Source organism: Homo sapiens, chromosome 8 (genome assembly GCF_000001405.40).
Source record: "Homo sapiens chromosome 8, GRCh38.p14 Primary Assembly".
NCBI lineage: Eukaryota > Metazoa > Chordata > Mammalia > Primates > Hominidae > Homo > Homo sapiens.
In genome coordinates this window covers 54,272,843-54,290,775 of record NC_000008.11, presented here as the reverse complement: position 1 = coordinate 54,290,775, position 17,933 = coordinate 54,272,843, and the positions used below count along the sequence as shown (strand labels likewise).

The 17,933-nt window shown below is 41.5% G+C and overlaps 1 annotated feature.

Annotated features, from left to right (window-relative positions):
* Window positions 577-1,077: an enhancer, noted in NCBI's record as "H3K27ac hESC enhancer chr8:55202259-55202759 (GRCh37/hg19 assembly coordinates)". NCBI's record gives its function as "activates a minimal SCP1, AML or CMV promoter by ChIP-STARR-seq in primed H9 embryonic stem cells {active_cell/tissue: H9 hESC(primed)}" and the evidence as "EXISTENCE:reporter gene assay evidence [ECO:0000049][PMID:30033119]".

Here is a 17,933-nt window from a genome sequence, read left to right as displayed (position 1 = left end):
ACTGCACTCCAGCCTGGGTGACAGAGCGAGACTCCATCTCAAAAAATAATAATAATAAAATAATAAAAAATAATTTTAAAAAGGGAGCTTAAAGGTACTAAATATCCTGAATAATTTGAACAGAGAAAATGATCATTAAAAACTGTCAAAATGACCAACATTTACTGTGACCAGTTAGGATTAACACTTTGAAAATATCTTGTATTCTGTGATAAAAATAACCAGGAAAAGGAAAGGGAGAATTAAAATACAAAAAAGATAGATATAATTGGTAAATCTAAAAAAACACAATACTAATAAAGTTGTCAAGTGTATTGTCTTCACAAGATCTTGCTGATAAAGTTGTATGAGTCAAACTAAGATCTGACTTATAAACTAAAGATATATGAAGCAAAAATATTATTATATATTATTCTCACTAAACATTTGAAAATAGTTCAATTGGCCAGGCGCAGTGACTCACGCCTGTAATCCCAGCACTTTGGAAGTCCGAGGTGGGTGGATCACCTGAGGTCAGGAGTTCGAGACCAGCCTGGCCAACATGGTAAAACCCCGTCTCTACTAAAAATACAAAAATTAGCCAGGCGTGGTGGTGGGTGCCTGTAATCCCAGCTACTCAGGAGGCTGAGGCAGGAGAACCGCTTGAACCCGAGAGGCGGAGGTTGCAGTGAGCCGAGATTGCGCCATTGCACTCCAGCCTGGGCAACAAGAAGGAAACTCCATCTTGAAAAAAAAAAAAAGAAAAGAAAATAGTTCAATTACAATCAACATCAGTTTATCTAGTGTTTTGGTTATCTACTGCTGCATAAGAAAACACCCCAAGACCCAGCAGCTTAAACAATAACCATTTATTTATTTGTTCCCGATTCTGCAACATGGCCTGGACTGAGTGCTGCTGCTTCTGGTCTTGCCAGTGGCTACGCCACACGGATGTGTTTGGCAGGCAGGTTAGCTAGGGTCGGGGCTCAGCGGAGACGAGGAACAGCAGAACTCCTTACATAGTCTCAAGCCCTCTCCCTCTGCATGTGGCCTCCCTATACGGTTTATCCGGTGGCCAGACTGCTTCCATGGGGACTCACGACTTCCAAGAACACAGGAACAGTTGTCAGCCCTTCCTCAGCCCTGGCAGTCCCAGACCATGACTTCTACTGCTTATTACCTAAAGCAATCACAGAGCAGTCCAGATTCAAGGTGATGAGAAAGAGACATCAGCTCTTGACAAGGACGGACCAGGCCGCCCTGCAAAGAGCCTGTGGGGTAGGAGGCATTGCTGCAGTGTCTCTAGGAATATCGTCTACCACGACTGCTATATGATTTGTGAAAAGCTTGATAAACAAATGAGATATGTCACAGGGCAGCAGGGATCATGTTTAATCATCCTAAAAGGAAACTTCTTGACAACAAGCATCTTACATGAAAGACATAGTTCACCTCGAGGAAATGGAAAACAGTTTCTGCCTTATTGTGTAGTTGAGAGATAAAATACACAAAAGAGGAACTGTAAAGGTATTAGTTCACTCAACAAATAGTTTTGAATGTTTAATGAGCTAGTCTTATACCCCCAGGTAAAGTATAACTTTTTAAAGACAGCTTTCCGGCCAATACTTTTATTTCAGAAGCCATGTGCACATAGGAATACAAAAGCAGCTGTCTTTTGGGGGGAGGCTGCCAGGTGTTAGGAACTATGCCAAGCATGGTCTCTCTGAATTCTCTCAGAACCCTGCAAAAGCTCCACCATTAGTCATTGTACTGGAGAGAAAACTGATGCTTTGAGGGGTTAAATGCTCTCAAAGTAACACTGACTCCTGAAATATTAGTAGATTGACTGAAGGAGACTTAGTTACTGAGAATATTGGAACATATTTTAGAAGTATTTTTGCTTATATATGTATTTTTAATTTCCAATTTTACCCATACAAGGCTCCCTGGACTTGGAGTAATTCTTCTCTAAGATGTGAGGCTATGGTTCAGTCTTCCTAATGCCCAGTGTCTTTACGCGGGAAGACCGGAAAACATTACTGAAGCATCTGCACACACCTGCAGGATCCCATCATTCCATCACAGAACAGCCGTATAGTTCAAGCCAGTGGAAACTTCTACATGGCAACTCCCAACACTACTGAAGTCTGGATGGAAAAACACCCAGCTTTTCTCAAATAACCATGGGTTGTCTTGGGTCCAAATTGGAAAATGCCGTTTCTCCCTCTTCCTGCCTTTGCCTCCCACAGGGCTACGCATGGATCTCTGCGGATCAGGCTTTCCCTCCCTGAGGGTGGGCTGTTTCCTCACACATTCAGTAAGAGGAAGAGGTGGACAGAAAGTGGAGGCGGCTGCAGAACAGGGGACCTGCAGGCTGGAGCCAGTGTGAGCCGAAGCCAGAGGTCCCCTGGGGGGGAGTGAGCAGGGAAAAGAATGGAGGGGCTGAGCAGATAAGAATCTTGTATTCTCCCTCCATTTCCTTGTTCCTCGGCCCTGCCTATGGGGCTCGCCTACCCTGGGCCTTTTAACTGTCAGGGAGCCAATGCCAAGCGCTGGGCCAAGTCATCGCCGATGACATGTGAGTTGTGTGTGTTCCAAATTGGCCTTCCTGCCTTTCTGCAAGAAAAACAAACTTGAGCTGGACCCCAACAAACATGACAGGAAAAATAACAACCCTTGTTGAGGGCTGATACTGAAAATGGCTGGTCTCCCCACCCGCGAGCCAGCCCCTGCTGAGGGCAGGACCAGGGTCCTCCTCTGACGTGGGGTCCTCCTCTGACGTGGGGTCCTCCATGGCGACATACTGTCCAGGGCAACCAGGTCATTTCTTCTGAGGTCGCCTGGGAAAGCCCCCTTGACAGGCCCTTTCCTGGCCCCACAATGACACCACAAGGTAACAAACCCATTTTACGGAGAGGTTAGTCTGTGGCTTTGGGTAACATCCTGATTAAGCGACAGAGCTACCTTCACTCACAACAGCATCTAACTCTAGAGTTTCTACTTTTAAGTTTTAGCTATATTCGAAAAATGAGAATTCAGAATGAATGCTCTTGTTGGGCTTGCTTCCTAGATAATACGCTAAAAGTCTTTAAAACCACTGGCATATATAATAAAACCACTGGCATATATAATAAAACAATAACATGAAATATTACCATTATTATTTTAAATAATGTTTCTTCGTCAATTTGAAAGCCTTCCATAAGCTAGACTCTGTTCTCTTTTTCACTATTTTTTACATGAACATGGTACACAAACGATGCTGTTCAATGAAATAGTGGGGTGAATTAAACTGAAAATAACATTTTCTAGGCTACAATAATCAATAGTTATATATACCCAAACAAACTATAAGTAGAAACTCCAAAAGATACTTCTACACTTGTGTTCAGAGCAGTATTATTCACAATAGCCAAAAGAAAGAAGCGACCTAAGGGGCTGGCCATTGACAGATGAATTGGAGAAACAAAATATGATACGTACGTGCAATGGACTATTACCCAGCCCTAAAAAGGAAAGGGATTCTGACACATGCTACGACATGGATAAACCTCAAAGACAGCATGCTAGGGGAAACATGCCAGGCACAGAAGGACAAATGTTATATGAGTCCACTTACATGAGGTACCTAGAGAGGTCACATCCATGGAGATAGGAAGGAGAATGGTGTTATCAAGGGCTGGGGAAAGGAGAGAATGTTTAATGGTTACAGTTTCCGTTTGGGAAGATGATCACTTTCTGGAGATGGTGGGTGGTGATGGTTGTACAGAACGTGAGTGCACGTAAGGGCACTGAACTGTATGCTTAAAAATGGTTAAGGTGGTAAATTTTATTTATGTGTATTTTACCTTAATTTTTTAAAAAACAAATCATTATTCAGTCCTGGCTGAAGGAGAGAAAATACTAAATAATGCTTGTTAAAGCAAACTAAATATGGCCTGAAAAGGACCCTGTACTTCTATATTTAAGTCCTTGTGGATGAACTGTAACCTAGCTTAACAGTCAGACAAAATTGAAAACCTAACTTGATAGTATGCACCCAAAACAGTAGCTGAGTCTTGGCCAATCTCAGCAGCCATACTTCGACCACTCATAGACTGCTGAGTGTTCAAACTATATTCATATAAGGCAAACACAGAGCTGTAACCAATCTCACTGTTTCTGTACCTCACTTCAGATTCCTGTACATCACTTTAACTTTTTTGTCTATAAGTTTGTTCTGACCACGAGGCACCCCTGGAGTCTCTGTGAATCTGCTGTGATTCTGGGGACTGCCTGATTTGCGAATTGTTCATTGCTCAATTAAATTCCTTTTTTCTTTTTTCCTTTCTTTTCTTTTCTTTCCTTTTTTTCCCCCAGGCTGGAGTGCAGTGGGACGATCTCGGCTCACTACAACCTCTGCCTTCTGGGTTCAAGTGATACTCCTGCCTCAGCTTTAAATTTAATTCAGCTGAAGTTTTTCTTTTATCATGGTGAAACCTTCTCCAGTGTGTGCCAGGTCCAGGAGGATTCACCTAGCAACATGTCGCCATCCTCAGACCTCAGCTTTAAAGTGAGGCCTAGGACAATTGCATTAGGAATTTTGCAGATCTATTTTTTCTGAAGATTTTAGAGCATTTCTGAGAGGCTGGTTTCACAGGTTGAGGACAAAGCAGGCCACTAACTCATATGGCTGGATGTAAAAAACAAAGAGCCTGCCTATATTGCACCAATAAACTTTTCAGAAAGAAATGAAACCGTTTTGACTTGTGCTGTTTCAGATCTTGAAAACTTCTAGGCCGGGCGCAGTGGCTCACACCTGTAATCCCAGCACTTTGGGAGGCCGAGTGGGCAGATCACGAGGTCAGGAGATAGAGACCATCCTGGCTAACATGGTGAAACCCTATCTCTACTAAAAAATACAACAAAAATTAGCCAGGCGTGGTGGTGTGCACCCATAGTCCCAGCTACTCAGGAGGCTGAGGCAGGAGAATGGCGTGAACCCAGGAGACGGACTTGTAGTGAGCCAAGATTGCGCCACTGCGCTTCAGCCTGGGTGACAGAGCAAGACTCCGTCTCAAAAAAAAAAAAAAGAAAAAAAGAAAAAAAAGCTTCTCTAAACAAAGACGATTTCACTCCCACAACTCTTTTATTACTATTATTATTTATTTATTTATTTATTTGAGACAGGGTCTCACTCTGTTGCCCAGGATGGAGTGCTGTGGCACGAAACCACTTACTACAGCCTTGACCTCCTGGGCTCAAGCCGTCCTTCCACCTCAGCCTCCCAAGTAGCTGGGACCACAGGCACACCTCTACGCCCAGCTAATTTTTACATTTTGTAGTGAAGGAGTCTCACCAAGTTGCCCAGGCTGGTCTCAAACTCCTGGGCTCAAGCAATCCTTCTACCTCTGCCTCCAAAGTGCTGAGATTACAGGCGTGAGCTGCTGCGCCCAGCTGGATCTTTTTTTTTTTTCTATCTTTTAATGTCTTTTTTGTCAAAACTTTCATTTTATAAAGCTCTGTTCAACTCTGACTTTACAATAGTTTGCTTCTCACAAACTATATCAGATGATATGGGCTCCCTGCTTGAGGCGATGGGCTGCTTCTCAGCCCTGCGTAGGAGGAATGGTTTAAATTAATCCTAGCCATTTTTAGCATAAAACTCTCACGCATTTTCCCCGAGCATACTGAAAGCTTTTAATTAATTAAAAACAATGTTTATAGCAATAATCAAATACTTAAATTAAAATTTTTCATAAGAATCTGTCATCAAAGTTATGTTTTGCCAAAGTTGGTACTGTAAGGATTTTTATTTGTGAATATCATAAATTGCTTCAATTCTGTTCCATTTCCAAGTTTCTAGGCATTTATCAAGCTGCACCTGCCTAGAAAATAAGTTTTGGAGAGGATGTAGGGAAATTGGAACCCTTGTGCATTGCTGATGAGAATATAAAAGGGTGCAGCTCTTGTGAAGAACAATAAGGTGATTCTTTTTTTTTTTTTTGAGACGGAGTCTCGCTCTGTCACCAGGCTGGAGTCCAGTAGTGTGATCTCAGCTCACTGCAACCTCCGCCTCATGGGTTCAAGTGATTCTCCTGCCTCAGCCTCCCAAGTAGCTGGGACTACAGGCGTGCACTACCACGCCCAGCTAATTTTTGTATTTTTAGTAGAGACGGGGTTTCACCATGTTGGCTAGGATGGTCTCCTGGCCACTGAGATAGCGTCACTGCACTCCAGCCTAGGAGAGATGAGTGAGACTCTGTCTCAAAAAAAAAAAAAAAGAAAAGACTATTTGCACAGCAATGTACATAGCAGCATTAGTCACACAGCCAAAAGGTAGAAGCAACCCAAGTGTCCATTAATAGATGAATGGATAAACAAAACATGATGAAGACCTGCAATTGAATATTGTTCAGTATTAAAAAGAAAAGGAATTCTGATACGCACTATAATATGGTTGAACCATGAGGATACTATGCTAAGTGAAATTAGCCAGACACAAAAAGACAAATACTGTGTGATTCCACTTATATGAGGTACCTAGAGTAGTCAAATTCACAGGGACAAAAAGTAGAGTGGTTGTTGCCAGGGGCTGGGGGTATGGAGGGAAAGGAGAGTGAGTGTTTAATGGGTACTGAGTTTCAATTTGGGAAGATGATCATATTGTGGAGATGGACGGTGGTGATGGCTGCACAACAATGTGAATATATTTAATGCCTCTTAAAAATTGCTAAGACAGTACATTTCATGTAATGTGTATTTTATAATAGAAAAAGATAAAGTTAAAAAAAAACTATACCAGCCTAGATGACGATAATAATGTTGTCCTAATGAGAGTGGTGTAAGAATTAATAATATAACAATACATGCATAGTACTTGGAACCATGCCTGATGCTAGAGTTAATGCATAAAAAAACTAGCCGTCACCAGCCAGACATGGTGGCTCACTCCTGTAATCCCAGTACTTTGGGAGGCTGAAGCGGGCAGATCACCAGGTCAGGAGTTCAAGACTAGCCTGGTCAACATGGTGAAACCCTGTCTCTACTGAAAATACAAAAATTAGCCTGGCATGGTGGCAGGTGCCTGTAATGCCAGCCACTCAGGAGGCTGAGGCAGGAGAATCGCTTGAACCCAGGAGGTGGAGGTTCAAGCAGTGAGCTGAGATTGTGCCATTGGACTCCAGCCTGGGCAACAAGAGCAAAACTCCATCTCAAAAAAAAAAAAAAAAAAAAAAAAAAACTAGCCATCACCATTACAATCATTATTATTCTTAATATTATTATCTCCTATCAACATGTTTGATCCTATAGTTTTACTATTTTAAAAAGAAAATTTTCCTGGTGTAATGAAACGTGATCTCAGTAGGTGGCTCCCTCTAGCACTTTTACCTTTGTCAAGGGGAATTTGATTGCAGCCTTTTCCAAAGCAGGCCCTGCCCTGGTTAGAGGGCAGACTCCAAGGTTTTTCAAAGCCCTGTAAACCTTGAACTAAAGGGGCCCTGAACCAGAGCAAGTTCTTCATCAACTCTTAGTCTACCCCACACATCTGGAGTCACGCCAACGATTTCTTAGGATCCTTAAGAATAACTCACTTCGTGGCTGGGCACGGTGGCTCACACCTGTAATCCCGGCACTTTGGGAGGCCGAGGCGGGTGGATCACCTGAGGTCAGGAATTCAAGACCAGCCTGGCCAACATGGCGAAACCCCGTTTCTACTAAAAATACAAAAATTAGCTGGGAGTGATGGTGGGCGCCTGGATTCCATAATCATGTTCCTAGGTACTCAGGAGGCTGAGGCAGGAGAATCCCTTGAACCTGGAGAAGGAGGTTGCAGTGAGCCAAAATTGCGCCACTGCACTCCAGCCTGGATAACAGAGTGAGACTCTGTCTCAAAAAATAATAAGAATAACCCACTTTAAAAGATAACAAAATGCAAGTTAAAATAATAAGTTATCCTTAATCCCTAAAACATTATTCAGTAACTACAGATAAATGATTTCTAGCACTTATCTATTCTTCAGCCTTAAGGAGAATTCAGTGAAGGGAGTGTTAGCTCCATTTTCCGGTGAGGAAACTAAACCTGGGAGCAGTAAGCATTTTGTGCAGTGTTTTACGGCGTGTTCCATGCAAAATAGAGAACACCCAACCCTCTGACTCATAGCTCTGCTAGTTACAACACACACTACAAAAACTGGAAATAAATCCACTTTATAACATCAAAGCTAAAGGAACTGCAGACATTGATTTGTCAAACTAAAATGAAATGATTACAAAATTTGAGACCCTAGATTTAGGTGAGTTCTGAGAATTATACACTTTGTGGGGCCCAGCCTGAGAAGCCTGTGAATTCTACTCATTGACATGGATGAGTCAAAAGTCCAGTTGTTTGTCTAAGAAACTGGGGCAAACCTGCAGACCGGGGAAATAAACATACTTCAGAAGAACTGTTCCTAAGATAACTCCATCCAACTTCAAAGAAACACATCCAACCTCAAATCTGAAGAAGACAGCTGTAGAATCCCCATGTTGAAAATGTGATGAAATGGACCCCCAGAAACATGCAGCCCTGGGGGAGGAGCCAACAGGTAAGCTGGTACCAGGTGAGCCCTGGAATGGGGAAGCCAGGCAGACAGCCTGACCGCCTTATCCAGAGTGAGTCTCCAAATGACCCAACTAAATATACCTTTGCAACGATCAACTCAACTTGCCTAATAATTCCAATACTACCAATAAATCCCTTTAATAGTGTACATTTAAGAAAAATAAAACAAAGAGTACCAGAGAAAAAAGAAAAAATACAAAGTCTTTTGTTCTGTTTTGGTTTTGTTTTCGAGACAGAGTCTTGCTCTGTCGCCCAGGCTGGTGTGCAATGGTGTGATCTTGGCTTACCGCGACGTCAGCCTCCCGGGTTTAAGCGATTCTCCTGCCTCAACCTCCCAAGTAGCTGGGATTACAGGCACACACCACCATGCCCAGCTAATTTTTTTTTCTTTTTTTTTTTTTTTTTTTTGTATTTTTAGTAGAGACGGGGTTTCACCACGTTGCCCAGGCTGGTCTCCAACTCCTGAGTTCAGGCAATCCGCCCGCCTCAGCCTCCCAAAGTGCTGGGATTACAGGCACGAGCCACCACACCCAGCCATAAAGTCAAATTATTAATTCCTGGCCAGATGAGAAAATATGCATCAATACAGAAATTCAGTGAATGCTTCACCCAGGGAAAAGTCAAAGGTTGAAGGTGGTGGCAGTGTACGTATGGTGCTGATATTAGCTAGGAATGAAAACTAGCATCCTGGATAGGACAGAGTCCACCAATCTCTGTAAACTGTTGGCTAAAAAGTACGATTGTTTGTCAGCCAAGAAAAAGTCTTCAGTTCGGCCCAGTTAGGAGCTGTTGTACAAGGGTCATGCAAAGCTCCTGCTGCTTTGTCAGCATGCTTTCACTAGAATCTGTTTTCATGAAACACAGTATTCAGTTTTTGTATCTCCTGAGCAAATGCTGATATAAATAGAAAAATTTCCCTTATACATAGATTATAACAACCTCGTGTAATGCATGATGACATCAAAGTGGATATTTCCTTGTGAGAGCCAGCAGTAAAGACATTGGGGGAATCTGAATGTGATTTGGATGGTATACACAAGAGAGGAAAATTTATTGAAATGGAAATGTTTGGTTGACAAAATAGGTCACAATACAGTGTATATCATGTGGTGTCGTTTTGATAATAATAACAATGCTCCTATATGTACATGAAGAAAAATATCCAGAAGGATATACACACATGGCCAGGGGCAATAGCTCTAGCCTGTAATCTCAGCACTTTGGGAGGCCAAGGCAGGCAGATCACCTGAGGTCGGGAGTTCGAGACCAGCCTGACCAACATTGAGAAACCCTGTCTCTTACTAAAAATACAAAATTAGCTGGGCATGGTGGTGCATGCCTGTAATCCCAGCTACTCAGGAGGCTGAGGCAGCAGAATCGCTTGAACCCAGGAGGCGGAGGCTGTGGTGAGCCGAGATCGCACCATTGCACTCCAGCCAGGGCAACAAGAGCGAAACTCCAACACAAAAAAAAAAAAAAAAAAAAAAAAAAAAAAAGGATATGCACACGTGTTACAGTAGTGAGTTTAGGTGAAAGGAAGGTGATATGTTTTCATTTTTATTTTTGCTTTACTTATTAATTTTCTACAATGATCATGTGCTGTTTCTGTAGTAATAAAAAGTTATTATTTTAGACTGATGCGGTGTAAAGGAGCTCATTTCTTCTCCCCCTACGATTTAAAGTTGAAATGTGTTTTGAGATTATATTGGTTTCCAGATTCAGAACTGTGGCTTACAGAGAGAAATCACAACTTGAGTCCTGATAACCGATGGATGGTTGCCTCGAATCCACAGCCCTCATCTCCCCACGTGACAGCCCCAAGTGAGTCAGATCTCAAGGTGATTATGGAACACTCAGGGAATTTTGGCAACATTTCCCATTCTTCACACCACCCACATGAATACCTGGAAGCTCACTGTTGCCATGAGAACCCCCTGGGCCAAAGCAAGCTGGCCACCCAAACGGAACAGCCTGGGCACCGACGTCCTCCGAGGGGAGCTCAGGACCAAGCCCAAAGCAGGAGGTGATTATCAGGCTTCCTAACCCTTAGGGTCAAAAACCAGATTTCATGACAGGGAGACACAACTCCCACTGATTTATCTTTCCTTTATCCTGCAACTGGCCGTTTCAAGCAGTCTACTCTGTGATTATATCAGGAATCGCTGGGTGGAGGTTTTTTTAAATGCACAGGAACGATTTTTCTAAACCAAAGCAGACGTGTAATTGGCAAGTCCCAAAAGAGACCAAGCAGGATGGTAAGGGCAGACCCTGGGTTTATCAAGAATAAAGAGGGTGCAAAGTTCAAAGATTCGGGAAAATCAAAATAGGCAACTACCGGATGGTATTAACTTAAATAAACCAAATGTAGGGTTAAATAAGCCTGCTGATGTTAAAGGTTACATCATTACTCAACTTCAGCTTTCTAAAACAATAAAGAGATGTGAATAAAATTACCTACTCGCATAAATCATTCTTACCCAGCCCAAATCCCAGAGAGGACTAAGGAACGACCTACTTGACAATGAAAGACAGATGAGTTCCCTGCGCTCTTTGCAGTAGCTGCAAAGATTAACCTGCCTTACCACGGAAACTCAGGCAATGCCAGAGGGCAGAGACGGCAGGAGTTCAGGACCATCCAAAAACGGCTCAGGAAAAGAAACTTTTCCTTGAATTTAATATTCTTATTTTAAGAATACAAATTAGAATTAGAATATAAAATGAATTGCTGTCCTTTCATGGCAGTTGTGTTTTAAAAAAAAAACCTACATGGTTAAATAAAAAGCTTTCCACCTAAATTTCTATAAGAAGATACTTTCTCTATTAGCTTTATTCGGGATCATTATTTTACGGTTCTTTAAACTTACAATAAAAGTAATATATAGGCATATTAGTTTAAAACTTGGATGACAATAATTTGTATATTATTTTTTTCTACTCCATTTCCATAGCAAGTGTCCAATAGATAGTAAATTAATCACATTTGATTGCATCCCTAAAAATTTATTCTTTAGAATTTTCAGATCGTAAAGAAGTTACACACCAACTGAACAAACTTGCATTGTAAAGACTTGACTCATCAAACCATATACAGCAGGTCCTCGAGTAATGCCATTTTGTTATATCGTTGATGAGAAAAAATAATCTATTCCTGCAGGGGCCGCTGTCTGTGTGAAGGTTGCACGGTCTCCCCACATCTGCGGGGAGTTTTTGGGTTCTCTAGTTTCCTACCATGTCCCAAAGGTTCATTGGCGTGTCTAAACGGTCCCAGTATGAGTGTGAGTGTGAGTGTGGGGGTGTGTGAGTGTGGAAGTGTGTGGGAGTGTAGGAGTGTGTTAATGTGGGAGTGTGAGTGTGGGAGTGTGTGAGTGAGTGTGAGTGTGGGAGTGAGTGTGGGTGTGGGAGTGTGTGAGTGTGTGGGAGTGAGTGTGAGTGTGGGAGTGAGGGTGAGAGTGTGTGGGAGTGAGAGTGTGGAAGTGATTGTAGGTGTGGAACTGTGATTGTGGGAGTGAGGTGAGTGTGGGAGTGTGTGGGAGTGAGTGTGCGTGTGGGAGTGTGATTGTGGGAGTGTGAGCGTGGGAGTGAGTGTGGGTGTGGGAATGAGTGTGTGGGAGTGTAGAAGTGTGCGAATGTGGGAGTGTGCATGTGGGTGTGGGAGTGAGTGTGAGTGTGGGAGTGAGTATGGGAGTGAGTGTGGGAGTAAGAGTGTGGGAGTGGAGAAGTGTGTGTGAATGTGGGAGTGTGTATGTGGGTGTGGGAGTGAGTGTGAGTGTGGGAGTGTGGGAGTGAGTATGGGAGTGAGTGTGAGAGTAGGAGTGTGGGAGGGTAGAAGTGTGTGTGAATGTGCATGTGGGTGTGGGAATGAGTGTGGATGTAAGTATGAATGAGTGTGTTGCAGTGTGTGTGGGAGGGTGACTGTGGGATTGTGTGGGAGTGTGTGTGGGTTAGAGTGTGAGAGTGTGTGGGGAGTGAGTGGGTGTGCGCCTGGGAGTGTGTGAGTTCTCCCTGAGAAGGGATGGCATCCTGACCTGGGCTGGTTTCTGTCTTGAACCATGAGCTGCCAGGCCAAGCTCTGGCTGCACCGTGAGCTGGAATAAATGAATGAATGAATGAATCCAAATGATTATAAAATAAAAATGTGTAAAGTCTACAATAATCACACAAACGATGTGAAACGAAATCATTCAACAAGCCCGCCATGTTTGTGATGGTTTTTGAACTGTGTGGTGGGAGGAGGTGCTTCTTATAATTTCACTTTGCAAACATTTATTCCTTGATTTAACTCACCATAACTATGACGACTATCACTCACTGATTCACCAATAATTGGGTAAATAATTATCTTTCTTGTTTTTATTAATCTTTCTTAAATTTACTTATAGCTCACATTTATTTCATTGTTTAATATTAAAAGTGCTTGGGGTCTTTCTTTAGAAGTTTGGTGATGTTCTTGTGGCTAGAAATATGCCATAGGAACTTAACTCTTGGTTATATCAATTAAAATTTATATTGATACTAAAATTAAAATTTTATATCAAGTAACACTGATCTCATTATACATCATTTCACTTAAAGTTGCAGGTTCCAAGAACCTATTGATGACTTTGAGATCTTACTGTATGCTTACATAGCATAGTGATTAAATTTATATTTTAGAACACTTTCAAAAATAACTCTCTAAAACCTCTAACAAAAAAAGACAGCCATATATCAGCTTTCAATCCATTCTGTGAAGTAATTTAGCTAGTTATACAATGGAAAGTTAAAAGTAGAAAACACACAACAATGAGATGCCACAATACACCTATGAAAACGGCCCAGACTCCCAAACCTGACAATACCACTTGCTGCTGAGGATGAAGAGCAATAGGAACACTCATTCATTTCTGATGGCAATTCAAAATGGTACAGCAATTTGGAAGACAGTTTGGCTGTTTCTTACAAAGCTAAACGTAGTCTTATAGGATTCCACAATCATGTTCCTAGGTATGTATTCAACTTCTCTGAAAATTTATGTCCATAATAAACACCTGCATGTGAATGTTTACAGCAGCTTTATTCGTAATTGCAAAATACTAGAAACATTCAATATATGCTCCAATAGGTGAATGGATAAATATGCTGTGATATACAAATACAATGAAATATTATTTAGAGATAAAAAATAAATGATCTGTAAGTCATAACAAGACACGGATGAATCTTGAATACATGTTGCTAAATGAAAGAATCCTGTCTGAAAATATTACATACTGTAAGCTTCCAGTTATGCGACATGTTGGGAAAGGCAACACAAATGGTAAAGATGGGTGATTACAAGGACTTGTGGGAGAGGATTGAAGAGGTGAAGCACAGATTTCTTAGTGCAGTGAATCTATTCTTTATTTTATTTTATTTTATTTTATTATTATTTTTTTGAGATGGAGTCTTGCTCTGTTGCCCAGGCTGGATTGCAGGGGAGCGATCTCTGCTCATGGGCAGTGAATTTATTCTGCAAGATATCATAATTATGTATACATAAGTTTAAGCATTTGTTAAAACCCATAGAACTTTACAGCACAAAGAGTGATCCTTAATGTGTGCAAATAAAAAAAAATTGTTTAGGAGGTCGGGAATCCCAGAATGAGATAAGAGGATCTAACTGTATTACAAATGTGTGAAATAGTCTCATTAGTGGGATGGGAAGAAAGGGTGCTGACTTAAGCACCTTTGGAAATGAGTGAAGCCTACAGGACTAAAAGCAAATGAAATTGGACAGACTCTACTCTAGTTGATGAAAGTTGTTTCCCATGGGAGTACAGGTTAACAATTCTAATGCTACCATACATGTACACTGCAATTGAACAATTAAGTAAATGGATGGCAGTTGATGGAAGTCGAATTCCTCACAGCTGGAACAGGAGTTTACAAATAAGCGAGAGGAAGAGTCTAGAGCAATCCACATGATAACAGATTAGAGTTGGGGACGTCAGCATGAACTCATGTTTAGCTTAATATAGACACAATAGTCACATATGGAAAAATATGTAGATATGTGTATACACACAGGTTAGTGTACACACATATATTTCCACATTTTGTCAGCTAAAAGGGTCTTGAAGCGATGACACACCAGTAGCAACAAGCACACCTAGCTCTTGTTTTCTAATACTATTTGCCAATAAAAGGAACCAGAACTTCTTGGTGAAATGGCTGATTCTGTGACAGGACAGGGAATATAGAAGATGAGTGGAGGTATTTTATAGAGCCAGGAAATACAGAAATGCTAAATAAAATAAAATAAAACAAAAACCTACATTGACTGGAGTATATGTCAAAGGAACATAGAGGCCAACTAACAAGCTCCTAACAAAGCTGGAACAACTAGAACTACAAAATAAATTCGTATTAGATTACGTTCAAAGGATAAAATATATATCCATGAGTACAAATTCATGGTACAAATAAATTATTGAAGAAAAAAATGGGAAGAAGAGACCAATCTCCTATGCAAATAATTTTTGGAGCTACTCCGCCCTTAGAGGGATGCAGCACAACTCCTTGAGTGTTCACTACATGTAACAACTTCATTCCAAAAGTACAGTTTGGAAGGTAGGGAAAAGGAACTTTACAGTGGAGAAAACTGACAAACACTACTTCAGCCAGGTGGTCAAAGTCAGTATCGCCAGTGATAAATCATGTTGAGAGTATGTACCCTTGATACAATGTGATGAAAATAGCCCTTGACTTCTGTGGTCTTCATCCTGTAAACCCATAACCTCATGTTAAACTGAGAAAAACATCAGAATAAACACATCTGAGGGGTATTCTACAAAATGTACTTGACAGTACTCCTCAAAACTGTCAAGGTCATCAAAAACAAAGAAGGTCTGAGAAACTGTCAGAGCCAGGAGGAGCCTAAAGAGACACGACGACTAAATGTCATGTGGTATTTTGGATGAAATCCTGGAAATGAAAAAGGATGTTAGGTAACAAAGCAAAAACAACAACAAACTAAAGGTCGGGCGCAGTGTCTCACACCTGTAATCCCACCTCCTTGGGAGGCCAAGGTGGGCAGATCACCTGAGGTCAGGAGTTCGAGACCAGCCTGGCCAACATGGTGAAACCCTGTCTCTACTAAAAATACAATAATTAGCCAGGTGTAGTGGCGAGTGCCTGTAATCCCAGCTACTTGCGAGGCTGAGGCAGGAGAATCCCTTGAACCCAGGAGTCGGAGGTTGCAGTGAGCCAAGATCATGCCACTGCACTCCAGCCTGAGTGAGAAGAGTGACACTCTGTCTCAAAAAAAATAAAAAATAACAAATTAAGGAAATCTGAATAAAATATGAACTTCATTTAATAGTAATGTAGTAGTTCATTAATTATAATAAAAATCCCATACTAATATAAGATGTCAATATGAAAGGAAACTAGATATAGGGCATATAGGAACTCTCTGTGCTCTTTTCACAGTGTTCTATAAATCTAAGACCATTCAGAAAAGAAGTTTTATTTTGTTTTGTTTTGTTTTCTTGAGACTGAGTTTGGCTCTTGTTGCCCAGGCTGGAGTGCAATGGCGCAATCTTAGCTCACTGCAACCTCTGCCTCCCCGGTTCAAGTGATTCTCCTGCCTCAGCCTCCCAAGTAGCTAGGATTACAGGCGCATGCCACCACACCTGGCTAATTTTTTGTATTTTTAGTAAAGACGGGGTTTTCCCATGTTGGCCAGGCTGGTGTCGAACTCCCAACCTCAGGTGATCCACCCACCTCAGCCTTCCAAAGTGCTGGAGATTACAGGTGTGAGCCACTGCGCCCGGCCTAAGAAATTTTGTTTTAAAAAATAGTTCAAGCAATACTGGACCATAACCCAAAAAAGGTAAAACAACACCTCTGTTACCCAGAAGAAAAAAAAAAAAAAGAAGATCCCTCAAGTTATCGGACACCTTAGAATTTTACCCCAAGGCTAATCTAAACATCTCTGCCCTTCCTTTAAAGTAGGAAAGCAGAAGGCATATTAAAATTGCTGTGAAGAGGGTTATTGGTAAGCACAAAAACAAGTCAAAAAATCAAGTGATCATAGGGGGTGTTGTTTGTTTACTGAAGTAACAAATAATATATCTTTTGTTTTGGAAATTTTTGACACCTGCTAAACACAAAACAAAACAAGTCATCAGAGGTAAAGGGCTTTGTTAGCTCTATGTTAAAATATGGATCCAGAGTTCAGGCTCCGACGACATCACAGATACAGAGGACATAACCCTCAGAAGACCGTCTAGAATGCAAGAGAGGATACTTTTAGTAAGTCTCCCAAAGGAGACCCCCAAAATGATGGCGCTTACCAGCACTGACCCAGATCAGCTTAAATCCTGCATTAGCCAGAGGGCAAGAACAGCTTTCCTTCCAGAGCTCTGGGAGCAGGGCATTTGGAATTTTATTCGCAACGTCCTTGGACTCTCTCTTTTCTCTCCCTTTCTTCTCCTCTCTGAGCCCTAATTCATCCTGCCACTTCGGTAGTATACTTCTGTTACCAGTTAGAGGGACAGAACTATCTGCTTAAGATAAAGCTTCTGAAATCGCGTCTTTTTCTCCATTCATCTTCTACTACATCATTTTTAGAATATTTACCCATTAGCAGAATATTTATCTGCTAGTGTTCAAAGTGAAAACATTTTCTAACACATTGTGGAAGTTTCTTGAAGTACAACCATCTACAACTGAAATAATCACAAATTGAAACTCCTCAGCTCTGCTTGGCACAGGTCCATTCACAAATTAGCTTGGTGTCCATCTCTAGCTCCTATCAACCCACCCCCAACACTCCCATCCAAACTAGAACTGTCCTCATCATGGGGGAAGCAAGATCTTTTTTTTGCCTGGTTCCCAAATGCACTGGCTTCTTAGAGTCACATGTATACTTTCTTTCTCTTCTGCAATCCAAATCCCTACACAGGATTTAAGCCCACTCATTAGACCCCTGGGATGTTTTCAGTGTATTCTATTGCTTACAAATTCCATTCATTTTTCACTGATTCAAATCTCACTTTTCACACTTTTTTTTATCCATTCTACAAGCACTCACTCAGTATGCTTTCTATACCCTTCAGGGAACATACAGTTTAGTAGGAAGGATAACCAAAAAAAAAAAAAAAGAGAGAGAGAGAGAAGAAAGTAACAGATAGAAAGAAAAAACATCTATAAAAAAAGGCTTTTGCAGCTAATGACTTTTTTGATCACTCCTCAAAGACTTACATGGCTAGTCCTGGGGACCAGCGCTGCAATGGCAAGATAGGAGGGAGGCCATGCAGGTTAGCAAGGGCCTAATGACAAATCACGAATCTCCATGCCTGGCCAAGAACTTTGGACTTGACAGAAGGGCGATAGGAATCCCTTGAAA